At 40.5% G+C, this 27,361-nt stretch overlaps 1 protein-coding gene across 4 annotated transcripts in view, besides 1 other annotated feature; it reads right to left on the reverse strand.

Moving 5' to 3' along the window:
- Positions 1-27,361, reverse strand: part of UBE2H (ubiquitin conjugating enzyme E2 H) — a 122,229-nt gene that overhangs the window by 45,221 nt on the left and 49,647 nt on the right. For all 4 annotated transcript variants that reach the window (NM_001202498.2, NM_182697.3, NM_003344.4 and 1 more), the window contains 2 exons: positions 4,943-5,019; positions 3,616-3,690 (listed from right to left, as the gene is read on the reverse strand). Coding sequence is in view for 2 of the 4 variants with exons in the window: in NM_182697.3 (NP_874356.1) it covers positions 3,616-3,690; positions 4,943-5,019 (152 nt within the window). In the remaining 2 variants the exon portion in view is untranslated. The remainder of the gene's footprint in view (positions 1-3,615; positions 3,691-4,942; positions 5,020-27,361) is intronic.
- Positions 3,824-4,325: an enhancer, noted in NCBI's record as "NANOG hESC enhancer chr7:129519616-129520117 (GRCh37/hg19 assembly coordinates)". NCBI's record gives its function as "activates a minimal SCP1, AML or CMV promoter by ChIP-STARR-seq in primed H9 embryonic stem cells {active_cell/tissue: H9 hESC(primed)}" and the evidence as "EXISTENCE:reporter gene assay evidence [ECO:0000049][PMID:30033119]".

Here is a 27,361-nt window from a genome sequence, read left to right on the forward strand (position 1 = left end):
ACAACTCTGAAGCTTTTGTGAAGACAATCTCTCTTGTAGAAACTTATGTCTTCCTTACGCTCTCTCTTCTAAATTGAGGTGCTGACTCACACCTCTCCTAAAAAACAATGGAACCATGCCATTAAGTACACGTAGTATTTTATTTACATTCTTCTTCTCTCCTAACCAGTAAAGATCTTCTGTAGCCTTCGTCATGTCCAGCAGGATGCCAGGTACCCCGAGTTTTAATACACTGGTCATATCAAACATGCAGAATCTGTTTAATTCTAGTATCTCATTTTCTAGCAGAGAAAACAATGGGTCAGCTGCATATCTCTCTCATGGTCAAGGAGAACCAGGGCCAGAACTTCTCTACCCTGATAACCAGTCCACTGACCAATCACACTCTCCTAACTCCTACACAGTAACACCCAGCAGTATTGCTAAGCACTCTAGGAACTAATGTTTCTGAATGAAAAATATGAAAGTCTGAATTTTCAAGTAAATCAGAAAAAGATTCAAATATGATTCATCTCAAAGCAGTCTCTCTGGAAAATTATGCAAATATTCAGCGATGTTATAGTTGATTAAAGGAGTTTTATATCTTTTACTCTTTTCAAAGTGCCTAGAGGGCCGGTTTTATACCCCAATTGATATTACTCGTTTTTCCATTCATCTTATTCTTTGGGCTTAAATGACTGTTAGCCATTTCAAAAATTCACATCCAGCTTCAAAGCATCAAGATTTGCCATCACTTATGATACTGAAACAGAAGTAAAATTCCAAAAAAAAGAGCTCAAAGTGTTTGAAACAATAATGGCATCATAAGAATAAGTTCATAACCTCCCAAGGTGTCTACCTATATTCCTTTTCTTTCCAAAAAGTAGCTATGCCACTATTTCGAATACCCACTCATTTATAGATGCAAATTGTTTTAAAGGGACATCTCATGCAATCATGTAACTACTGACAGCCCTCTAAAACTATATTTGGAGAGTGTCCCAAAGATAAGCATATCACATTATATTGAATATATATATTTAAATATTCAGAGAGAAATGTCTTAAAGAGCATATTCCAGAATGTAAATAATGACACCCTTTAAGGGATAAGATTATGAGACATTTTGATTTTTCTTTACTTTGGCTTACAGATTTTCTTACATTGCTCTAATGGATATGGGTCATTTATACAATTAAAATACACATCCATACACAAACACACAAAATAGAACAAAGTACATAGACACTGCAAAATTCCAAGAGCCAAGCATTAAAGATGTTTGATCTAAATTTGCACAGCTGATTGTTTAAAAGCTCAAAATTTGGCTCAGGAAGAACACTACACCTACCCAGATACAACAGGGGCAAGATTTAAAAAGAATGTTGAGATTGGGTTGATCTTACCTCCTCGCCCTTCTGTATAATTTTACAACTATCTACACAACTCAAAAAGGAATCCTTGCCTTTTCTAAGTGAGCCACAACCTTTCTGAATGCTTAAAGCACATCTCAACAGTAATTACACTGTTGATGACCTGAAAATGGGTCACCCCGCACAACTGATTGAAACTCTCTTATGCAACCTTCCTCTAGAGGAAACAAGAACAGCTTGTACAAATATTTCAGCTAAATCTACTTTCCAAACAGAAGATGATACACATTTGTAGGCATTATCAAGTCCTGAAAGCACACAGAAAGGCAAAAGAAACAATTATGAAGAAGTTAAATTAGCTTAGTCATTTGTCCCAACCAAATTTCATATTGCATCATTAATTTAAGAAAGCGTGGAGGCTTTTTGTGTCATTAGTTAATAAACAAGCAATGCCTAAAGTTTAGACATTATTACCTAGAAAGTTATGATGAGATAATCATATTATCTAGAAAAAATACATTAAGGTCTGAGAAATAACATTTCTACAGGATATGAAATTGCATTTCTATAAGTTCACTCTTAGTTTCAACAAGCTCTATTGTTTCCTTTCTGACTAGGAATGTGGGGTTAACAAAACTAGACTTAGCATGCCAGTTTTTAGCCTTTAGGTAAACAGGTATTTATGAAATGTATCTGAATGAACTTGCATGGACTTCTATAAAGGCTTTAAAGTCCTATCACTAACCAACATAAGAGTTTTAAATGGCTGAGTAGACAGAAACACCCTAAAGTTAGAAGATGAATAAACTGGGGACAGGGAACCACAACACAACAGAAAAGCCCTCTCAAAAGGAGAAGGTGTACAGGCGTATACGTTTCTACACCTATACAGGTGCTAAGTCAGATGTGCTCGGGGGCTGTCTCAAAGGCTCAACACCTCACAGCTCCACTCCCACTTTACCATTCACAACGCTGAAACTTAGAGGCCCCTATAGCAAGAAAGAAATTTCTGATTCAACTGGTTAGGAGTGGGGGTGTAGTGGGGAGTGGTCTAGACTCCAGGATATCGGGCATTACTTCTTAAGACAGCCCACAGCAGCCAGGCGCAATGGCTCACGCCTGTAATTCCAGCACTTTGGGAGGCCGAGGCTGGCGGATCACGAGGTCAGGAGATCAAGACCATCCTGGCTAACACAGTGGAACCCCGTCTCTACTAAAAATACAAAAAATTAGCCGGGTGTGGTGGCAGGCACCTGTAGTGCCAGCTACTCGGGAGGCTGAGGCAGAAGAATGGCGTGAACCCAGGAGGCGGACCTTGCAGTGAGTCGAGATCGTGCCACTGCACTCCAGCCTGGGCGACAGAGTGAGACTCCGTCTCAAAAAAAAAAAAAAAAAAAAAAAGCCCACAGCAGTAGCAAAATGTTTGAACTCTGGCAATTCTGAACATGAGGCTTAGTCTGATTCTCAGAGAATGCTCAATATATTACAATTTTATTGTTCTTACTTAAAATTGTTCAATATTTTATAATATTTTAGACATGTATAAAGTGAAGCAAAAAAAAAAAAAGCTGGCTTAAATTAACTAAATTACTACCATTCTACAGTCTCCAAATATTTAAAGGTGTCCACCTTCAATCAGATAGATCTGTCACTGAGTGCCTCAATGGGGGTGACAGGTAAATAACATCACCCATTAAGGTAAAAGGAGATGAAGGTGAGGAGAAAGTACCTCTTTGTACAACCCCACTGAGGTTTCTATTCTTTCTTCTGCTGTTTAGGGGGCTAAAGAGACTGGAGGTGGGAAGACTGCAAAGGGTCATTTAATTGTAAGGTACCCAGAGTTGGAGTGAACAAAAAAGCAAAGTAGGATCTAGGGAGAATTTCTGAAAATGATAGGATTAAAACACATACTATGTAACATTCATTCTTGCAATCTGGCATTCAAAATTAGACTTAAGATATGTTTATTATTTTCCTGCTAACAGCTTAAAGAACAGTGGGGCCTTAAAGCTGGTTTAATCTGACACCAAAAGACAAAAATCTAAAGTAATGGTCATTATAATTATGCAAAGAGTATATTTAAACGTCTTCTAACACACTATAGAAGTTCCCCCCAAAAGTCACTGATTAATTAACCAAAGCCAAAAAAGGAAAAATTCAATTAGACAGCCATTTCTGGCATTAATTACCTCCCCTGAAATGTAAGATTTTTCCCCCTTAGATTTCAAAACTCTCTAAGGAGAAAAACCAAGTAGTAACATACCTATAGATGGAGATTTGAAAGGGTATTTATCAGGTAGGTCCACTCTAACTTTCCATACTCCGCCTTCATATGGTGCTGAAATAAAAGTAAAAATGTTCATCAGAACTACATCTCCAAATTAGAAAATAAATCTGAGTGTAAATTAAACATTATCCCCTAATCTTCTGAAAACCTTCCAAATTAATTCCTTCAAGAGTCAGGGACCTACTACAATCAATAGGTGTACCACGTTCAGATTAAGATACTTTTCTTGGAAAGATCCAGAGTTAAAAAATAAGCAGATTCATTCTGCAATTTACTTGATTCTTCAAAAGTACTAAACACTATTCAATTATTTGGTAAGTAATAGCCATGTTACTTTCCCTCCTATCTCAATAAACCCCATATTCATCCCCCCTCCAAGGCCAAAAAGAAAACAACAAAAAACATTTCCTGGAAACCATTCACGTGGCCATCCATAACAAAACCCAGAATTTACAATTCATGTCTAGTACTGTCACATAGAGATAAAGAGAAAACTACAGTCAGCCCTCTATATCTGCAGGTTCCACACCCCTGGATTCAACCAACCACAGATCAAAAATATTAGAGAAAAAAATCCAAACAATAATAAATAACAATACAATTAAAAATAACACAAAAAAAATACCAAAAAGGACAAGTGCGGTGGGGCTCATGCCTGTAATCCCAGCACTTTGGGAGGCTGAGGCGGGTGGATCACCTGAGGTCAGGAGTGCGAGACCAGCCTGGCCAACATGGTGAAACCCTGTCTCTACTAAAATACAGAAATGAGCTGGGCGTGGTGGCAGGCACCTATAGTCCCAGCTACTTCGAAGGCTGAGGCAGAAGAATTGCTTGAACCCAGGAAGTGGAGGTTACGGTAAGCCACAATCGTGCCACTGCACTCCAGCCTGGGTGACAGAGTGAGACTCCATCACTTAATAAATAAATAAATAAATAAAATACAGTATAACAACTATTTACATAACATTTGCGTTGTGTTAGCTATTACAAGTAATCTAGATGTGATTTAAAGGACATGGGAGGATGTGTGTAGGTTACATGCAAATTCTATGTCATCTTATAAAGGGACTTGAGCATCTGTGGATTTTGGTATGAGGTGGTCCTGGAACCAATCCCCTACAGATATCAAGGGATGACTGTATATAAAGTGATTGTGATAAGAGAAAGATTTCCTCACTGGTTCTGCAGTCCAACTAAACTTGCTTTTCAGAAACTACGCATGCTACCATCTGTCTTTGATATTCTATTAAGAAACAGAGTAAAAGACTGTAATAGAAGAACACATACCAACACATGTACTTACTTCCTTGTGGTCCATAAAACTTCACTACAAATTCATTAAGTCCTCCCAGGATCGTAACCTCATGTTTACTCTCGATGCTAAGGTGGACGGTAAAGGAAATTACACAGGCTTTACAGTATCTGGCAGAATTACCAATAACACCCCAGGCATATGCCACTTAAAGTGTTACCAAAATTTGGCATGACATTGATAAAATATACATAATAATTCTGGTAGTTTAGGAGGAGGCAATATATACTCTTGTAAGAAGATATGCATGAGCTTTGGATTCAGAGACGGCCGTTCAAATCCCAGGAATGCCATTTACTGAGTTTTTGAGCCTAGCCAAAATAATGTCAGTTTACTCCCTGAGTCTTTGTTTTCTCTTTGCAAATTGGGAAAACAGCATTTCATAGGATTTCTGTGAGGATTAGACAGGTTAAACATGTAAAATGTGTAAGACTGCATTTTGCCTATATACATAAAAAACTGGCCAGACGCAGCGGCTCACGCCTGTAATCCCAACAGTTTGAGAGGCCTAGGCGGGTGGATCACCTGAGGTCAGGAGTTCGAGACCAGCGTGGCCTATATGGTGAAACCCCATCTCTACTAAAAAATACAAAAATTACCCAGGCATGGTGATGCATGCCTGTAGTCCCAGCTACTCAGGAGGCCGAGGCAAAAGAATTGCTTGAAGTTGGGAGGTGGAGGTTGCAGTGAGCCGAGATCACATCACTGCACTCCAGCCTGGGTGATAGGGTGAGACTCAGTCTCAAAAATAAAATAAAAAATATACATGAAAAATAGGCGCTTAATTTTAGCTTTTCTCTCCCTTTCTACCCTCTCCTCCTCAATCTATCCCTAATGAGCCTGTCATATAAACCCAGTATTCCCTTTAGTCAAATTCAAATGTTCAGCAAAATACAAATTCCCCTAAACTGGAAATGCTATGCTCCTAAAACGAGGGATTTACTAAGGAGAGTTCCCACAATTGTCTCCTTGGCTTATGGAATAATCAACACAGTTAATGATACAACCTTGCCACAAGCAGTACTGCCAAATGCAAAAGACCAACAAAACAAAAAAAAATTTTTTCAGATCTTATCCATAGCATCTGTTTTCACTGCCCCCCAAACTCCACCTTCTTCAGACTTGCCTCAAGGTTTGGTATGCTCCAGGGCTCTAATCACAGAGGGGTAACATGGCTGTGCTCCCTTCCTCTAAAACTTACCTACCCCTGAGATTCTTGCCCCTTTAAGGTGCTAAGATTCAATTCTAGAAACCAAATTAATTCATATTAGAAGAGAGGACTACTCGTTTAAAATCTGTTCTATGTATCTGCTTTGCGGTAAAATCCAAAAATGATTCTCAGTAGGAATTTTAGGTGACAGAGGCTTTGGGAAGCTCTCAAATCCCACTGTAACATTAAAAAGGAAAACACAATAGATTGGTCTCATATTTCTCCATCAGCAGTGCAAATTATATACTGTTAATACAAAACAGAAACATTTAAAAAGTTTTAATAATCTCATAGAGAATAAATATTTTTAAAGATTTGAAATTAAATATTTGGCACTCCAAGCCCGTGTCCAATGAGACACAGAACTGACTGCAAGAGGCCAGGTGTAATTTTGGTAAAGTCCTTGCTCAAGAGCCCTGAGTATCCACAAGAGATATTTAAATAAGATAGTTCAGTCTAGGCTAATTTGATCTAATTCTTTTCTAAACGATAACTTACTACCTTAGAAACATGCACACTAAAATGATTCAATACTGTCCACATAGGAAAACTGGCTTTATTTCTTGCTTGGTCAAATGACACATGCATGCCTACTCTGACCAGTCACCCTCTGACATCCTGCAAAATATTCCAAAGTTAACGTTAATGTAATAAGTAAAAGCATAACATGCTTAAAATGTTTTAAAACTTTTTTAAAAAAAGCATCCTTGTGTCACGTAAAAAAAGGCAAATCCAGTTAAAATAAAATTAAATATCAACAATACAGCCCTTAAAGAAAACAGACATGGAAAACACTTCCATAGTGTAAAAGACAAATGATAAACTAGGAAGACAAAAATGTGGATTTTAAAAATAAGTTATTACAAAGCAGCAAGAAAAAAATACAAATACCCCAACAAAGAAAAAGCCAGAACATCCAAGTCAAGAAAACGGAAATGGGTAAAACTGAAGTATAAAAAAGTCCAATTCATTAAAGAAGTTTAAAAAGATATTTCTTCACTATAAACAATGAAAACAACGAAAGAGCTGGATAAAATCTAGTGTTCAGTGGAGTACGAATTAGTACTTCTGAGGACAAATCCAGCACTATATTCCAAAACTTAAAATGAATTTACTCTTTTATTCAAATTTCACTTATATGAAGTTATTTTTTTAAAAATAGACACTGCTGGTGAGAGTGTGATATGGTTTCACCCACTTTGAAAAACTGTTGGCAGTACTAAACCTGCACATATGCATACCCTATGCCTGTCAGCGCTACTCCCGGAGATACGCCCAATACATATGGATAGTTACATTCACCGAAACCGATGTTTAAGAATGTTCACAGGACTATTTGTAACATCCAAAAATTAGAGACAATCCAAACGTTCATCAATGGCAAAAAGAATAAGCTGTAGTATAGTCACCCAAAAGAAAATTACAAAGCATTAAAAAAGAAAAATAGGCTGGGCACAGTGGCTCACGCCTGTAATCCCAGCACTGTGGGGAGCCAGGGCAGGCGGATCACTTGAGATCAGGAGTTTGCGACCAGCCTGGCCAACATGGCGAAACCCTATCTCTACTAAAAACACAAAAATTAGCTGGGCGTGGTGGCGGGTGCCTGTAGTCCCAGCTATTCAGGAGGCTGAAGCAGGAGAATCGCTTGAATCCGGAAGGCAGAAGTTGCAGTGAGCTGAGATTGCACCACTGTACTCCAGCCTGGGCAACAGAGTGAGACTCCGTCTCAAAAAAATATAACTTAAAAAAAGAAAAAAGAATGAATTGATACACATAATGTATGGGTTTTACAGATTTCATCAATGAACTACAAAAATAATTTCTCTACAAAAATTAGCCAGGCATGGTGGTATGCGCCTATAATCCCAACAACTTGGGAGGCTGAAGCAGGAGAAACGCTTGAACCCAGGAGGCAGAGGTTGCAGTGAGCCAAAATTGCACCACTGCAGTCCAGCCTGGGTGACAGAGTGTGACTCTGTCTCAAAAAACTAAATAAAAAAATAATAAAAATTTCTGTACTTTGGCCAGGCGCGGTGGCTCACACCTGTAATCCCAACACTTTGGGGGGCCGATGCAGGTGGATCACGAGGTCAGGAGATCGAGACCATCCTGGTTAACACGGTGAAACCCCGTCTCTACTAAAAATACAAAAAATTAGCCGAGCATGGTGGCGGGTGCCTGTAGTCCCAGCTACTTGGGAGGCTGAGGCAGGAGAATGGCATGAACACGGGAGGTGGAGCTTGCAGTGAGCCAAGAATGTGCCACTGCATTCCAGCCTGGGCGACAGAGCAAGACTCCATCTCAAAAAAAAAAAAAAAAAATTTCTCTACTTTTTGTATATATGTTATTCTTTAATAAAAAGTTTACAAAAATAAGTGTTTCTGATAAATCTGCATATATGTTTCCTGGAATATTTGAAGTTTAAAAATGGAAACGGTCTAAACATTTATCAATAAGAAACTGGTTCAACGAATTACTATTTTTTTTTTTTTTTTTTGAGATAGGGTCTCACTCTGTCATTCAGGCTACAGTGCAGTAGCATGATCACGGCTCACTGCAGTCTCTACCTCCCAGTGATCCTCCCACCTCTACTTCCCCCTAGCTGGGCCTACAGCAGGCACCACCACACCCAGCTAATTTTTTTAGTTTTTGTAGAGACAGGGTCTCTCTCTTTGCCCATGCTGGTCTTGAACTCTTGGGCTCAAGTGATCCTCCCACCTCGGCTTCCCAGAGTGCTGGGATTATAGGCGTGAGCCACCATGCCTAGCCAGGTGAAATGACTTATAAGCCATTTATACAATAGGTGGCTGGCTGCACTGGCTCATGCCTATAATCCCAGCACTTTGGAAGGCCTAAGGCAGGAAGATTGTTTGAGCCTAGGAGTTTGAGGCTGCAGTGAGCTATGATTGTGCCACTCCACTCCAGCCTGAGAGAGAGAGAACTTCTCTTAAAAAAAAAAAAAGGCAAAAAACACAAACCACATGCAGTAGGCTACTAATAGTGTGTACTGGTGTCCTCTTTCCAACCAGAGCTCCACTAATATATGTGTCTGTTCAACTTGGGTATCCAGAAGAAGTCAACTGAATTTAGTTGTACAAAGATATTCCAGCCCTTAAAACTGACAAGGATAATGAAAGAACGGAGTAGTGCAGAAGATTAAACGAGTTTAACAAAAGAAGTCTTAAATTAATTTTATAACATAAAAATCCACAGATGCAGCATTCTCCATCAATCAGAACTAATTTGCTATGAATGACACTGATCTACTGCAATTACTTTTAATCATTTAAAATTACGAGTTGTCCTTGTGGATGTTGCTTCTGGGAAAACTGAAGATACCTTTTCTATCCTTTACCTGGATGCGATAAAACGAGGTTCCTTCCATTTTGCGGTTTGTTTGGAATTCAGTCCATACTTACGTGTATTTTATAAAGAAGATCCTCCAAGCCTTCTCTTTCCCATGATCCCCAGTAATAGCCCACATGCCAGCTACAATGGGATTGTCTTTAATTATATATCACATCATAAATTAAAGAGTTCTCATAGTCTACCTCATATGAAAACCCAAAAGCAAACTGAACTAAACCTTTAAAACTTTTACCAAACCAGTAAAATGAGAAGCTATGCTAACTTTATGCTGCCTTGGAATGGACAGGCACTAAATGAGATAGAAAAAAGAATTTAGGTTTAGTCCAAAGAAAAACACTGCATTAAAAATAAGCCATTCCATCACCACTGAATGAATGACTTGCCACAAAATATATAATAATTACTTCACTGCTGTTACCACGTGTATTTATGGGAGAGACCACGAGTTTCTTTCTCCTCTCTGCTGCAAAGTCAAGGGCAAGGAAGGCACTAAGAAGGCAGGTTAAAATGACAAAAATAATGATCGATTTCTGGATGTGCTGGTCAGGCTGGGAGACTGGTGGGACTCACTAGAAGATTCCTCATTACTTTCTCTGTTTCACAGCTTAAAAATATAAAATATCCTTCAGACATTGTTCTGGTAAAAACTCATTAAATAAACCCATAAATCACATTTTATACTCATCTTTTTTGATCTTATTCACAAATACTGCTTTATACCCACTTAGCATTTCACTATTAAGGGGTATCACCATTTTGTGTAGAATAATGATTAACATTCCCAAGAACCCAAGTCCATTTCACTTTTTAAAGTGCCAGCCACCTACCACATTATTTTCCTGGAATGCCATTATGATTACACAATCTAATATTTAAAGGCAAATGCCAAACTGTCAAGAGATAAATGACATTCTTGGCAAAATGTGTCTGTCAGAGTTTTACAAGTGATTTTTATACAGTTCTGAAATTTTCCAGAAAGGAAGCCAAAGGCAATGTCTGGGCCTTAAGGACTGACAATAACAGGTCAAGGACCAAGGATTCAGGGACCACTGAGTCCTAAATTTACTGATAACAAGTTCATAAAATAAAAGAGTGCCCTCCCTGAGCTGTGTGGAAGGGAATGAGGTCCTGGCATAAAGAACGCGCTTCTGTGCAGAGGGCAGAAGCAAGTCGTGTGGATTTCTGTGTTCAGACCCACCTGCTTCCTACTCTCCTGGAGATGAGTCACACTAGGAAAGCTGAAGAAACTTGGCAATTTTCACTACCTGGTTTTTTGTTTTTTGGTAAAAAAAAAAAAAAAAAAAAAAAAAAGATATGTCTGTTAATCCATTAATATGTAAGTATCACAAAAATAGTGCTTTGGGGGGGATATGTTTACAAGGAATCCTTCTCTTTTAGAGACATAAATGGAAATATTTACTAATAAAAATGTTTCTAGGATTTGCTAGTAAATAACCCAGTGTGGGTAGAAGAGGTGTAGAAGAAACAGTAGAGGGCCAGCAACGTTAATGATTGAATCCTATGTTAATGATCGAGTCCCAGCGGCACATGATTTGTTACACTGTTCTCACTATTTTTGTTTTACATTTAAGTTTTCCATAATACAGTAAAAGTTCTTTAAAACCTAATAACATAGTTATCATCAAAAGTTTAGCTTTGTAGAGGCATAAAGCTTAGCTACTAGAGCTAAGAACAAGAACTAGAACTAGAATTTAGCTACTAGAGCTCTCTTGAACTTTTTTTTTTTTTTTTTTTTTGAGATGGAGTCTTGCTCTGCCACCCAGGCTGGAGTGCAGTCGCACGATCTCAGCTCACCACAACCTCGGCCTCCCAGGTTCAAGCGATTCTCCTGCCTCAGTCTCCCGAGTAGCTGGGATTACAGGTGCACACCACCACACCCGGCTAATTTTTGTATTTTTAGTAGAGACGGGGTTTCACCATGTTGGTCAAGCTGGTCTTGAATTCCTGACCTTGTGATCCACCTGCCTCAGCCTCCCAAAGTGTTGGGATTATGGGAGTGAGCCACCACGCCCAGCTAAAGGTGATACTATTAATGAGGCCCATGCCTGGCCTCTCTTGAACATTTATGAAACAATGTTAAGTTTTCCTGAGGTGCGACAGTTTGAAGAAGACAAAAAATAGCAAGTGATCCAGTATTTAAGAAAGCAAAGACTGGCTGGGTGAGGTGGCTCACACCTCCTGAGGTCGGGAGTTTGAGACCAGCCTGACCAGCATGGAGAAACCCCGTCCCTACTAAAAATACGAAATTAGCCAGGCGTTGTGGCACATGCCTGTAATCCCAGCTACTCGGGAGGCGGAGATTACGGTGAGCCAAAGTTACGGTGAGCTGAGATCACACCATTGCACTCCAGCCTGGGCAACAAGAATGAAACTCCGTCTCAAAAAACAAAACAAAACAAAAGCAAAAACAAAAAAACCAAAGACTTTACATTGAAAGAGAAGCATACTCTGCTAACATTCTGAAGGAAACAAGTTCAAGTGGTTTCATAAGGATGTCTATGAAAAATACAATCACATGGAAGGAAGACAAGCATGTGTCTGTATATCCATGACAAACAGCCTCTAGGCAACATGCTAACCAAAGCTCTTAAACTACAAGGAAAAATGGTCATGTCCAACAGAAAGGCTCCTGATTGAAATAAGAAGCTGAAAAAATTTTTAAGGGTTTTTAATGTTCTTCAAATGAAGAGGGGGAAGCCTTTTATTCAAAAGAGAAATTGAATGGCAGAAATAAAAGCTATTCAGAAAATGAGCATTATCTTGGGAAAGGTTTGCTAAGTAAAGAAAAAAAGAAAAGTGGCATTGAGAAAAGACAATGGGAAGTGGGCTGCTATCAGTGATGAAATCCATATGTATAAAGATTTAGGGACCATTGCAGTGGCTCACAACTGTTATCCTAGCACTTCAGGAGGCTGAGGTGGGAGGATTGTTTTGAGCCCAGGAGTTTGAGACCAGCCTGGGCAACATAGCAAGACCCTTTTTTTTTTTTGAGACGGAGTCTCACTCTGTCGCCAAGGCTGGAGTGCAGTGGCCTGATCTCAGCTCACTGCAATCTCCGCCTCCCAGGTTCAAGCCATTCTCCTGCCTCGGCCTCCCGAGTAGCTGGGATTACAGGCGCCTGGCACCACACCTGGCTAATTTTTGTATTTTCAGTAGAGACGGAGTTTCACCATATTGGCCAGGCTGGTCTTGAACTCCTGACCTCAAGTGATCCGTTCGCCTCAGCCTCCCAAAGTGCTAGGGTTATAGGCATGAGCCACCACGCCCAGCCACAAAAACTACTCTTACACAGAGACTGCCTTCCAGAAGTTTGAAGTCTAGCAAGGGAACACGAGATCTGTTCATTAAGAAGTACAGAAAGAGTTTGCATAAAGTAATACTATAGCTTAGAGTAGGAGAGATTTCTTCCAGCCCGGAGGGAGGGATAGGGATGGTCTGCTATGGAAGGTAAGGACTTACAAAATGTCCTAAACAGAGTGTGATTTGGACATGTCGAGGTGGGAGAAGGAATTTAATGCAAAGATTTAGTATAGAACTGATTCAGGAAACTGAGAACAATACATTTTTATTTTGATGAGTGGACCCTAGGGAATACTAGAAAGTAGGCCAAGACCAGATTACGGAGGGCTCCGAAGTGTGGATTTTATCTGGCAAACAGGGAAACAGTATTCCATGCACAGTGCATCTACCTGTGCTTTACAAAGATAACCCAACTGTGGTGTGTAGGACTGGCTGAAGGTGGGAATAAGCAGAGTTAAAGCAAAAGAGTAGGAAAGAAATATTCAAGACCTCAACTAAGATAACAGCCACATGAATCATGGGACATTAAACAGAGCCCTCACAGGCCTTCACAGCTGAACAGACCTGGCAGAGCCAGTAGAAAGCTCCAACGTTGCTACAATGTCTAATTTTCATGACAAAACAAAAAAGCAGATCTCCAAATCAATCTTCTAATTTCTAATTCAAGCTCTAAATTTCTAAGTGTAAACAAAGTATATGTGCTCCAATGTCTCCCTCTCAGTGAGGCCTTCTGGGATATCCTATTTACAACCACTTACTCCTAACATTCCCACCATGCAATATACTATGTATTTTACTTTTATCTCCTACTGCAGTGCAAGCTCCGTAAGAGCAGGAATTGTTTATTTTGTTCACAGAAGAGTACCCAGCAAACAGTAGACTACAAATGAACATGAGGCCGGGTGTAGTGGTTCATACCTATTTAATCCCAACACTTTGGGAAGCAAGGGCAGAAAGATTGCTTGAGGCCAGGAGTCCGAGACCAGCCTGGGCAACATAACAAAACCCAGTCTCCACAAAAACAAAATTTTTAAACATTAGCCAGGTATGGTGGTACGTGCTTATACTCCTAGCTAATCGGAAGGCTGACAGGGGAGGATCACATGAGCCCAGGAGTTAAGTTAGAGACCAGCATGGGCAACATAGTGAGACCCCCATCACTACAAAAAACACCAAAAAATTAGCTGGGCAGGGTGGTACGAGCCTGTAGTCCCAGCTACTTTGACGGCTGAGGCAAGAGGATTGCTGGAGCCCAGGAGTTTGAGTCTGTAGTAAGCTATGATGACACTACTGAACTCCAGCCTGGGTGACAAACATAGACCCTGTAGCTTAAAAACAAATAAATTTAAAAATAAGATGAACACATGAATGAAGTTGCCAGTCTGAGACCTTAATTTTAGCCTCTCAGACAGGTAAAGTGATACCACATATATATATACACACGTATACATACACACGTATATATACACACGTATATATATACACGTGTATATGTATACATACGTGTATATATGTATGTATATATACGTGTGTATATATATGTATGTATATATACACATATATATACACACACTTATATATATATTTTTTTTAAAGATGGAGTTTTGCTCTTGTTGCCCAGGCTAGAATGCAATGGTGTGGTCTCGGCTCCCTACAACCTCCGCCTCCCAGGTTGAAGCGATTCTCCTGCCTCAGCCTCCCAAGCAGCCGGGATTACAGGTGCCTGCCACCATGCATGGCTAATTTTTGTATTTTTAGATTTTTGTATTTCACCATGTTGGCCAGGCTGGGATTGAACTCCTGACCTCAGGTGATCCGCCTACCTTGGCCTCCCAAAATACTACAGGCGTGAGCCACTGCGCCCAGCCAACGGTGATACTATTAATGGCAAAGTGAAACACAGGACAGCAGGAATCAGTTTTGTAATGAAAGACACTATTAGTAAGTTTACTTTTGAAAACACTAAATTTGAGGTTATCAGTGGATAAACCAAGTGGCAATATATTATAAACAGCTGGAAAACTCATGACTTAAAGAAGTCAACTTATAGGCTGGGCATGGTGGCTCACGCCTGTAATCCCAGCACTTTGGGAGGCCAAGGCGGGTGGATCACAAGGTCAGGAGTTTGAGACCAGCCTGGCCAAAATAGTGAAACCCCGTCTCTACTAAAAATACAAAACAAATTAGCTGGGCGTGGTGGCGGGCGCTTGTAATCCCAGCTACTTGGGAGGCTGAGGCAGGAGAATGGCTTGAACCCGGGAGGTGGAGGTTGCGGTGAGCCGAGATTGTGCCACTGCCCTCCAGCCTGGGTGACAGAGCAAGACTCTCTCAAAAAAAAAAATAGTCAACTTATAAATCAATTAAATCTGAGCCTCTTTTTTAATTTTTTATTTTTTTTTGAGACGGAGTTTCACTCTTGTTGCCCAGGCTGGAGTGCAATGGTGCCATCTTGGCTCACCGCAACCTCTGCCTCCCCAGTTCAAGAGAGTCTCCTGCCTCAACCTCCTATATAGCTGGGATTACAGGCATGCGCCACCGCACCTGGCTAAATCTGAGCCTGTTTCTTAATCTCTAAACAAAGGGGGAGGGGATGCAGGGAAGGGACATTACCTCACTCACAGAATTGTGGAAAATTAAATGAAATACTGTATATCCAAAGGTACCAGGCCCAGCAGCTGACACAACAGGAACTTAATTTTTTTAATGTAAAAATAAATAGGCCGGGCATGGTAGCTCACGCCTATAATCCCAGCACTTTGGGAGGCCAAGGTGGGCGGATCATGAGGTCAGGAGTTCAAGACCAGCCTGGCCAACATGGTGAAACCCCACCTCTAGTAAAAATGCAAACATTAGCTGGGCATGGTGGCACGTGCCTGTAATCCCAGCTACTTGGGAGGCTAACACAGTAGAACTGCTTGAACAGGGAGGCAGAGATTGCAGTGAGCCGAGATCATGCCATTGTACTCAGCCTGGGTTACAGAGCGAGATTGTCTCCAAAAACAAAAACAAAAAAAAAAAAAAAAACACACACACACTTTACCTAAATGAATTGCCACAAAACTAAAATTCAAAGTTTATAAATGTAGTGTGTGTGTGTGTTAGTTTTTTTCCTACATTCTTAAGCAGAATACTAAAAAAACATGCTACACCTTTTTTTTTTTTTTTTTGAGACGGAGTCTTGCTTTGTTGCCCAGACTGGAGTGTAGGGGTGTGATCTGGGCTCACTGCAAGCTCCGCCTCCCAGGTTCACGCCATCCTCCTGCCTCAGCCTCCCAAGCAGCTGGGACTACAGGCGCCCGCCACCAGGCCAAGCTAATTTTTTGTATTTTTGGTAGAGACGGGGTTTCACCGTAGCCAGGATGGTCTCAATCTCCTGATCTCGTGATCCGCCCGCCTCGGCCTCCCAAAATGCTGGGATTATAGGCATGAGCCACCGCACCCGGCCTCAACCTTTCTTTTTTTTTTGAGATGGAGTCTTGCTCCCATCGCACAGGCTGGTGTGCGGTAGCACAATCTTGGCTCACTGAAACCTCCACCTCCTGGGTTCAAGCGATTCTCCTTCCTCAGCCTCCTGAGTAGCTGGGATTACAGGTGCACACCACCACGCCCGGCTAATTTTTGTATTTTTAGTAGAGACAGGGTTTTGCCATATTGTCCAGGCTGGTCTCAAACTCTTGACCTCAGGTGATCCACCCACCTCGGCCTCCCAAAGTGCTGGGATTACAGGTATGACCCACCGCATCCAGCCAACTACACCCTTTCTTGATGCTGGGTCATCATTATGAATAATAGTTGCTATACTGTACTACAAAATACAAGGATACCCTTAGGAACAAATAAGGAATATACTTATTTTTTGCTGTAGAAAATTTCCCATACTGTTATGCTAAAGTCCTTGCATTGAGAGGTTCTTTTCCTAGTTTCTCTTTGTTCTTAACCTTTAGCTATGTTTGGGAGATGACACTGGGCTACTATCCTTTAAAATGTATCTATAGTAGGCTAGAAAAATCAGATAACTGAAGTTCATGAGATTACTTTATGTTTAAAAAAAAAAGGGTAAATATGTCCTAAGAAAGACACTCTCCAATCAATAAAATATGTAACTTTTAGCAGGTTTACAACTAAATTAGTTGGCTAAAGCTGTCAAACAGCTTCTGAATAAGGGAAGTATCACTTATTTAAAAATAGCCATTTCAAAATAAATATGTATTGCCCAGAAGCAAAAAAATATCTGGCAACTTACTATGGTACCCTGAATATTTAAAGACCCATTATCTTAGGAGTAAAGAGTAACATACAGTTTTAAAATTTTACAGAGTCAACTGGTACGAGTAAGGTTAAATGGCAAGCATGTTCATTACCACCTAGCAGACTAAATCAGTCTAGCCTTAGGAGAGGAAATTTTTCTTCTCTAGTGTTATGCTTCATTTAGAGTTTCTATGTCACAAGCCAAACATAGGCAAAAACCAAGTAAATGTTACTTAAATAGGAAAATCATCACTATAACTTGGCTTTTCCCTGAATGTATTATTCCTCCAGACTTCCAAATAATAGAGTAAAAAATTTTCAAAGAAAAATTAAGACTCATAGAAACATTTTAAGACAGGTTTATCAGAAAGATAAGAAATCTAAGTACCACACCCCCATCCCCAACAAAATATTTTTAAAAGCAGATTTACAAAGTCAGATAGTCAAAGTCAGAAATGATCCAACTGCAGAAACAGTTTCAGAGAGAGAAAAGTGAAGGGAAATAGGGAAAAATAATGATACCATCTTGAGAGCAAGGAAATATAGTCAAAACAAAAAATAAGATTTTGAGAGAAATTCCAACTTCAGTTACGCACTTTAAAATATTTAGAAGCTAGAAGGCTATCGATGAAATATCAATAGCTCCTTAATAAACAAACTTGACTGCTTTGCTGTTTTATGGCAATAGTGCATATTTGCTTACTTGCAACTGAAAATTACAAATTTACATAATGTACAAATGCATGTATATAAATTAGCAGTATATTAGCTAAATAGTATATTACTCTCTTAACTCCTAAAGGGTTAATCAAAAGCCTACTTTTGGGCCTGGCACAGTAGTTCACACCTGTACTCCCGGCACTTTGGGAGGCCGAGGCAGGTGGATCACCTGAGGTCAGGAGTTCAAGACTAGCCTGACATGGCAAAACCCTGTCTCTACTAAAAATACAAAAATGAGCAGGGCATGGAGGCACACACCTATAATCCCAGCTACTTGGGAGGCTGAGGCAGGAGAACTGCTTGAGCCTGGGAGGCAGAGGTTGTGGTGAGCTGAGATCGTGCCACTGCACTCCAGTCTGGCAACAGAGACTCTGTCTCAAAAAAATAAAATAATAAATGGGACCAGGTGCAGTGGCTCACGCCTGTAATTCCAACATTTTAGGAGGTGAAAGCAGGCAGATCTTTTGAGCTTAGAACTCTGATACCAGCTTGGGCAATATGGTGAAACACCATCTCTACAAAAAATAAAAAAATTAGCTGGGCATGGTGGCATGCGCCTGTAGTCCCAGCTACTCGGGAGGATCGCTTGAGCCCAGGAGGTCAAGGTTGCAGTGAACCATGTCACGCCACTGCACTCCAGCCTGAGCAACAGAACAAGACCTTGTCTCTAAATAAATAAATGATGTGCTTTTGTTTCATATCTAATCCCATCTTTTTTTTTTTTTTTTTTTTGAGACGGAGTTTTTGCTCTTGTTGCCCAAGCTGGAGTGCAATGGCATGATCTTGGCCCACTGCAACCTCCACCTCCCGGGTTCAAGTGATTCTCCTGCCTCAGCCTCCCGAGTAGCTGGGATTACAGGCACACACCACCATACCCGGCTAATTTTTTGTATTTTTAGTAGAGATGGGGTTTCACCATGTTGGCCAGGCTGGTCTCAAACTCCTGACCTCAGGTGATCCACTGGCCTCAGCCTCCCAAAGTGCTGGCATTACAGGCCTGAGCCACCGCGCCCGGCCCATACCCATCATTTTTTTTTTTTAACTTCTTTTCTCAAAGTACATCCTACTTCTATGGAAAGATTGACACTCACTGTCAAATAACCATCAGCTAGTCAAGCATTCAGTTTAAAATCTGCAAACTTGGACTGAACCGCAGAGAATAAAGTCCTGCAAGATTCTCAAGACATGAGACACTTCAGAGATATTAACAAGTCCACAATGAAATTCCAAATCTAGAAAAATTGTTTTAAAAACTTTTTGGAAAACTTTTAGAAGGTAGGACCTTAAAAGACATCTGGTACTTAATTAAAATCCACTTTTTCTGCTCTCAGGAAATTATAAAATAATTAGACAACAAAAATCTTTCCTGGTTAACTGTAGGCCTGGAGGCAAACAATGAGCTGTGCATCTGACATGCTGTGCAGAAGTCCCAAGTGGCATTTAGTTATGGCTGTCACACAGTCTCTAGCACCTGTCACATGGGGGCTATGGCATGAAGGGAAGCACAGGCGGAAGACCTAGACCTGCAAATTCTAAGGGTGGAGGGGAGACGAAACCATTGCGCACATGAGAAAAACATGCAGGAAGAACCTTGTCATTCCAAAGGCAGAACCTACCTAATCACAGGAGGCTGGCAAGACAAGGAAAACAAATCACAACCTTAAAAATGACAATAGCAACTCACCTTGAAAACTTCCAAGTCATAGGCAACATATAATTTCCCCGTAAATGATACAAAGACATACAAATAATCAGGTGGCCCTCTGCAAAATCCTAATGAAAACATCTATTTATTTCTTCCCCCCAACTCCCTCTCCCCAAAATATCTATTTAAAAACATCCTACTAGGCCAGGCACGGTGGCTCACACCTGTAATCGCAGCACTTTGGGAGGTCAAGGCGGGTGGATCACGAGGTCAGGAGATCGAGACCATCCTGGCTAACACAGTGAAACCCCGTCTCTACTAAAAATACAAAAAAATTAGCCGGGTGCCTGTAGTCCCAACTACTTGGGAGGCTGAGGCAGGAGAATGGCGTGGAGCTTGCAGTGAGTTGAGATCGCGCCACTGCACTCCAGCCTGGGCAACAAAGCAAGACTCTGTCTCAGAAAAAAACAACAGAAAAAATCCTACTTCCCCTTTTGGGCGGTATGTGTCTTTGCTATACCACTCAAAGTGCTCAACACAAAGCAACTTCTCAATAAAAAGCTAAATTTAATATGACTTTATGGAGTATCTATGTAGTGCCTTTGGTATTCAAGTTTCCAGTGTTCTTTGAAAAATCTTGGCTGGGCGTCGTGGCTCATGCCTGTAATCCCAGCACTTCGGGATTCAAGGCAGGTAGATCATCTGAGGTTAGGAGTTCAAGACCAGCCTCCAATGTGGCGAAACCCCGTCTCTACTAAAAAACACAAAAAATTAGCTGGACGTGGTGGCGGGCATCTGTAATCCCAGCTACTCTAGAGGCTGAGGCAGGAGAATCGCTTGAATCTAGGAGGCAGACGTTGCAGTGAGCCGAGATCACACCACTGCACACCAGCCTGGGTAACAGAGTGAGACTCCGTCTCAAAAAAAAAACAAAATCTTTAAGAACACTGCTTCCATTTTTCATTTTATTTTCATTGTATTTATTTATTTACTGATTGATTGAAACAGGGTCTCACTCTGTTGCCCAGGCTGGAGTCCAGTGGCGAGATCCCGGCTCAGCTCACGGCAGCCTCGACCCTCCCAGGTTCAAATGATCCTCCCACCTCACCCACCCCAGTAGCTTGGATTACAGGCATGCATCAGCACATCCGGCTCATTTTTTATTTTTTGTATAGATGAGGTCTCCTTATGTTGCCCAGACTAGTCTCAATCTACTGGTCTCGAGTGATCCTTCTACCTCAGGCTCCCAAAGTGCTGGGATTATAGGTGTGAGTCACCTTGCCTGGCCCTTTTCTGTTTTTCCATTTTAAATACAGTTTTTACTCTAACTTGACATATAGACTGCAATGCCACTCAATGAAGATAGCATTTAGCTAAGTCAGTGCACAAAAATCTCTATTCACAGACCTTTTAATCAGGCATTTATGAATCATTCACAGTAAGCAGTTAAATTTTACGAGGAAATATTTTCTTTGGCATTCTTCATAGTGACAAATAGTTACCTCTGTAGAGTGGTGGGTGATAATTAATAAATACCAAGCTGCGGTACCCATTCAGCAGATAAAGATGATCAAAGTGTGAATAATGGATCATAAAAAATGTGCAGGAAGAGATGCCAGATATGCCATCATCCCCTTCCTCTTACATTACATTCAGCGCACCCCAAAGTCATGGAGCCACTTACTCGAAGACCCAGGTCCACAAACCAGACCATGCCTCATCTTCCTTTCCTTCCCTACACTGGATAATTACCAGTTTATGTCTCTAGAGATTGATTCCCCATCTTAATGACTTCTATAATATAATCTCAAGAAAATTCTTGAAACTCAAATACCTATAAATCCAGAGGAAAAAGGAAAAGGTAACACATATGCACATATAAATAATGAATTTGCTCTTATAAAGAGGTTAGAACCCACTAGTCTAAAGCTCTAATCATAGTCTGCTCGTTCTCCAGTTATCTTGCATAATATGAATGGCTGACCCCTGCTGCTCCCTTTACTACTTCAAGTTCATTAGGCATAGCAGGTGTCAAATATTAAGTGGCACTAATATCAATTTAACCTTGATTTCATAAAACTTAAAAAGGGGAAGAGAATACTAGACTTCGGCCTTTTTAAAGCAATACATGCAAAAAGAAATAAAGTAACAGGTTCAAAATTACTGTCAAGGTTTTATTCTGAAAAAAGCAAAACTACAGATGGATACACTAGACAGAATGCTAAATGCAATCTACATGCAGAGAACTCTGCGTTCCAAAACAAATGAATATGGCTTTATTCAACTGGGCCCAGTTTCCATTGTCCCTTTGGAAGATTTATGAGAGGCAGTACCCATTATCTGTTGGAAGTTTGATAAAAACTTGTATAAACAGTGTTTAAAAAAATCAAAAAGTAATCTAAAGAGATATAGAAAAATAGTGTCTTCTTGATTGAAATTCTGCTTAAAAACTATACAGAAGTGTAGTTAACAGGAAAATACCTTATTTGATAATACGTTCAAATAGCTATTATAAGCTGCCTGTATTTATTATCTTTATCAACATTTAGGATGAAAGAAGTGGGATAAAAAACTTTCAACAAAAACTGGAATGCTGCTTTTTAAAAAAACCCATAGTGAAAATAAGCAAAAGAAATGAATTATTTTATGGAAAAAAATTGCTGTTAAAGAAACACCCTACCATAAGAAAATCACACCAATATGAGTAAATAAGCAAGAAAACCCTGGAAAGTCAAGGGAGGTGAAAGTAGACTGTATCTAGGTGTGCAATGTGATACAACAAGAGTGGTAGAGCTATTTTCAGCATCATACTACTAACAGGTGATAGATCTCAGAGAAAAAGCCACCCTGCCATATTAGCAAAACTGCTAGCTCAAGACCAACAGAAATGATTAACATACAGTTAAGAAATGATCTGTCAGGTACAATTAGGACATATGAAGTGATAAACAGTATAAAAGAAACCAACCTAATCACTTAAGTAGAAGTTTAGATTTAAATATGCATCAACAATAAGAATGAAGGCTGTATTGTTATGAAGTATGAGAAGGAAATTAAAAATCAAGTTTCTCACAAGGAGTAGTACTTCCTGAAGAACTGAATAATATGAAAAAAATCAAGCTATTTAGCAAAACAACAGAAAACAAACCTAGACACAACAGTGGATGTATATATAGTAAGAAAACTTGACATTGAAAAGGTGAAAAAACTATTGAGTTTCCTTCTCTCGTGTTTGCACCACGGAGACAAGTAGAACTGATAGGCTCAGGTGCCACCATGTGAGATGTGCTGGTGCAATCAGAGGGCACAGTGCAGAGGAGAATCCCTCCTGAAAGACACAAGAGCACCCTCAATACAACCAAATAACCTCATCAGATCAAGTGTTGAGTTGCAGGCCTTTTTTTTTTTTTCTTGTCTTTTAAAAACATGACTGGGGCTTAAAATAGCCTTTCCACCCCGCAACTTCTAGTCCCACTGCCTAGATACTACCATTGCTTATGCACTTTCCATAGAGATGTTTATATACACACACATCCACGTCATCACATACACAAAGACATGTAGGTACAAACTGTTCTGTAAATACCTCTGCCCATGCATCTAGGGAGGATATGTTTGAGGACATATAGATCTAAGCTCCTTTTTTTAGTGCTTGTATAATGTCAATATACCATAATTTACCTATCCGTAATTTCATATCCATTAGTGAATAGGAAGGCTGTTGTCTGCTGTTTGTTTTGTTTTGTTTTGCTATTAGTTACAATAAACATCCCAGTACATGTCTGTTGGTATACTTTTTCAAGTATCTGTTTGCAATTTCTAGAAGTGGAACTTCTATTCAAAGGGCTGTATACCTAATTTTGACATATAATGCTTAAATATCCTTCAAAAAGGTTGCATCCAGTTACTTTCTAACTACCATCACCTAAGCAGACCTGTTTCCCTCATGCTCTCACCAATACCAGTATTAAAGCTTTTATAGTAAAATAAAGTTCACCTTTAAACACCACCTCAATTGCCAAACGCAGCTCAAATTGTCCAGTGCTTTTTTTTCTCTCATGCTGTTCACCAATCCAACAGAGCCCTGGCTAGGTGACCCATGGGGAAAAGCATGCTTTTCACAGGGATTCGCTCTACTGTTCCTTCTTGCCTCTTTAACACAACACGTGCATGTGCTCAGGATTCACGAACAAAAACTTACTAAGATATGAAGCACCTTTCATCAACTATCTCAAAGAGAAGGCTAATCAATTAAATCTCACCTAACGTGTGAGACAGGTTAACTCCAGAACCTGATCAGAAAAAAACAAAAACAAGGACAGAGTTTAGTCTGATACGGCATCACTTAATCAAACAACAAGGAGTAGTATTTTACCTACATCTCAAACACTTAAAAAGTATTTGTACTTCTAAATCTGTGCCCCCACAGGGCTGGACACCATGGCTCACACCTGTAAATCCAGCACTTTGGGAGGCCGAGGCAGGCAGATCACTTGAGGTGAGGAGTACGAGACCAGCCTAGCCAATATGGCAAAACCCCGTCTCTCTACTAAAAATACAAAAACTAGCCAGGTGTGGTGGCACACAACTGTAACCCCAGCTACTCGAGAGGCTGAGGCAGGAGAATCGCTTGAACATGGGAAGTGGAGACTGCAGTGACCCGAGATCACATCACTGCACTCCAGCCTGGGCTACAGAGTAAGACCCATCTCAAAAAAAAAAAAAAATTAAAATAATAAAATAAATCTATGCCCAAAATAGGATATGAAGTTAACTTCTTATTTCTTAGGTGGACCTGATACGTCAAATAGCTCCTTATTCCAAACTACTGTGCTATTACAGCATGCAAAATAATGTGTTCTCACAAAAGAATGACATGGATTTAATTATCTCAACATCCAACATTAATGTAACACATATGTTACTCTCCAATTTGCTAAAAGCCATAGAGTTTACCCTTGACTACTTAAATGTGAGATCCCATAGAAGATAATTCAAACACATGGAAGATAATTCATTGTATCTATATAACATTTGTATATACTATTTGATTTTATAGTTTCGAATATTATCAAATGACTTTCTCACATTGGAGTATCAGGATTTTCAACCTCACCCCCATGTTTCTTCTTCCTCTCCATGGAATACAATCACATCACCATTGTTGGCCAAATCACTATTTAGAGATTATATTATGACCATGTAAATTTTTTTTTATTATACTTTAAGTTTTAGGGTACATGTGCACATTGTGCAGGTTAGTTACATACGTATACATGTAAATATTATTCACTTCTGAGCCATATAGCATCGTATGATTAAGATTTCTTTTTCCTTTTTTTTTTTTTTTTTGAGACAGAGTCTCACTCTGTCACCCAGGCTGGAGTGCAGTGGCACCATCTCCACTCACTGCAAGCTCCACCTCCCAGGTTCACACCATTCTCCTGCCTCAGCCTCCTGAGTAGCTGGGACTACAGGTGCCCACCACCACGCCCGGCTAATTTTTTGTATTTTTAGTAGAGAAGGGGTTTCACCGTGTTAGCCAGGATGGTCTCCATCTCCTGACCTCATGATCCACTCGCCTTGGCCTCCCAAAGTGCTGGGATTAACAGGCGTGACTCACCGTACCAGGTGTTTTCTTTTTCTTTACAGTATTTTTCCCCAAGGAAATAAGCACTGTCTTAAACACTAAATTAATAAGAAACCAATGTATCTATCCTTAATTTGTTCCTCACCTCAGACAGAACTGTCTCAACATGTTTAAACACATCAAGATGAGTATTTGTATTTAAATGTTTTCCCTAGCAAATGTACCTTTCTCATTATTTGTGGCTGGTGAGTTGTGGAGGGAGGACAGGAGCCCAGGCAGTCTAGTTCAAGTCTGTTCTTTGAGCCACCCTATTTGCCTCTCTCTATCAAGACCACAGGGCTTCTGGAGAGGAGTGTGGCACACTCAGGCTTGTTCTGATGAGGAAGGTGACCAACAGCGAGACTGCACAGCGCCACAGGGAGATGCTGGTGGGATAGAGGTCGGTGGGGGCTAATGCACAGACAGGTAAGTACTGATAGGCAGTAGACTGGCTGGAGGGGAAGCCACATTTCAACGAGATTTTGAAGAACTGGATGACTAACTGTATATGAGGGAGAAGAAAGACTCAAGAATATCTGATATTTCCAATCTAGTAGATGATGACACTTTCTTTTTTTGAGATCTTCTTACCCAGGCTGGAGTGCAATGTGTGATCTCAGCTCACTGCAACCTCTGCCTCCCGGGTTCAAGCGATTCTCCTGCCTCAGCCTCCTGAATAGCTGGGATTACAGGTGCCCGCCACCATGTCTGGCTAATTTTTTGTATTTTTAGTAGAGATGAGGTTTCACCATGTTGGCCAGGCTGGTCTCAACTCTTGACCTCAAGTAATCCACCCACCTCAGCCTCCCAAAATGCTAGGATTACAGGTGTGAGCCACTGCACCCGGCTGATGACACTGTTCTAACAAAAATAAAAGGCAGGCAGGAGTAGCAGAAGCAAGTTTGGTGGGGGAGCGGGGGAGAGAGAAGAACAATGTGGAGTATTTAACATGATGAGACAACAAGTAATTGTCCAACAGACAACATTAAGTGTTATTAACCCGTTTTCACTTAGTCCTACTTCTTTCAAAGTAGATCTTTAAAACGGGAACTCAGCATACAAAGAGTTCTAAGAAAAGGCTGAGCAAATGAATAAAAAAATGTAACTTTAGATCTTAGTAATCTAAGGAATCATTAAACTACATATAAGTCTCTTAACAAAACCATTACATGGCCGGGCACGGTGGCTCACAGCTGTAATCTCAGCACTTTGGGAGGCCGAGGCGGATGGATCACCTGAGGTCAGGAGTTCAAGACCAGCCTGGCCAATATGGCAAAACCCCGTCTCTACTAAAAATACAAAAAAATTAGCTGGGCATGGTGGCAGGCAGCTGCAATCCTAGCTACTTGGGAGGCTGAGGCAGGAGAATCGCTTGGACCTGGGAGGCGGAGGTTGCAGTGAGCCGAGATGCACCATTGCACTCCAGCCTGGGCGACAGAGCGAGACTCCATCTCAAACAAACAAAAAACCTGTTGCACAAGTGAGAATAAGGGAGGCTCCATGGGACGGGGGAAGGCTTTGGAGTAGAGCAAACCTGGGTTTGAGGCCCATCTCCCCCATTTCCTAGGAAGTAGCCTACAGCCTCCTATTTAAGGTGGAGGAGCTTGTTAGAAATGAACACACTGGACCCCAGTTTCAGACTAACTGAATCAAAATCTCCATTTTAACAAGAGTCCCCAGTAACTGAGAAGCACCAGCCTAAGGCAAGTGAAATGATCTCTAAGCCTTGCCTCCCCCCACCATTTACAAAAGTGGGGATAAGCATATTTACCCTACGGGGAAACTGAGGATTAACAGGTGCCAAATATTTACCAAGCCTCTATCAAGAGGTGTTAGTGTCTTACATATGTTACATCGTTTAATCCTCTCAACAACCCTATCATGCAAGTATTGTTTCCATTATAAAAAATGAATACACTGTCGGGCTGCAACCCCGTCCAAGGTCGGACTGCTATTGAGTCGTAGAGCTGCTACTCACTGTGGCTCCCTGCTCTGCATTTGGCTTCCCATTAACCTCAATAATGCATATGCAACCTAGTGCAGCCAAGGGCACAGAATGTGTGAGAGCAAGGGAGGAAAGAAGCCTTGCACCTACAGAGAATCTAAACACTAGTTTAAAGCACAATCCACAAAGTTCAAAAACTGTACTCATATAAGCTTAAATGACTCAGCTGTGCTTATCCTTGAACTGATTTTCAGATAAGGATGTGGCATTAAATGAACAGTATTTATTTCAACAGTTGTGCTAAAATAGATCAACCAGCAGAA

Source organism: Homo sapiens, chromosome 7 (genome assembly GCF_000001405.40).
Source record: "Homo sapiens chromosome 7, GRCh38.p14 Primary Assembly".
Taxonomy (NCBI): domain Eukaryota; kingdom Metazoa; phylum Chordata; class Mammalia; order Primates; family Hominidae; genus Homo; species Homo sapiens.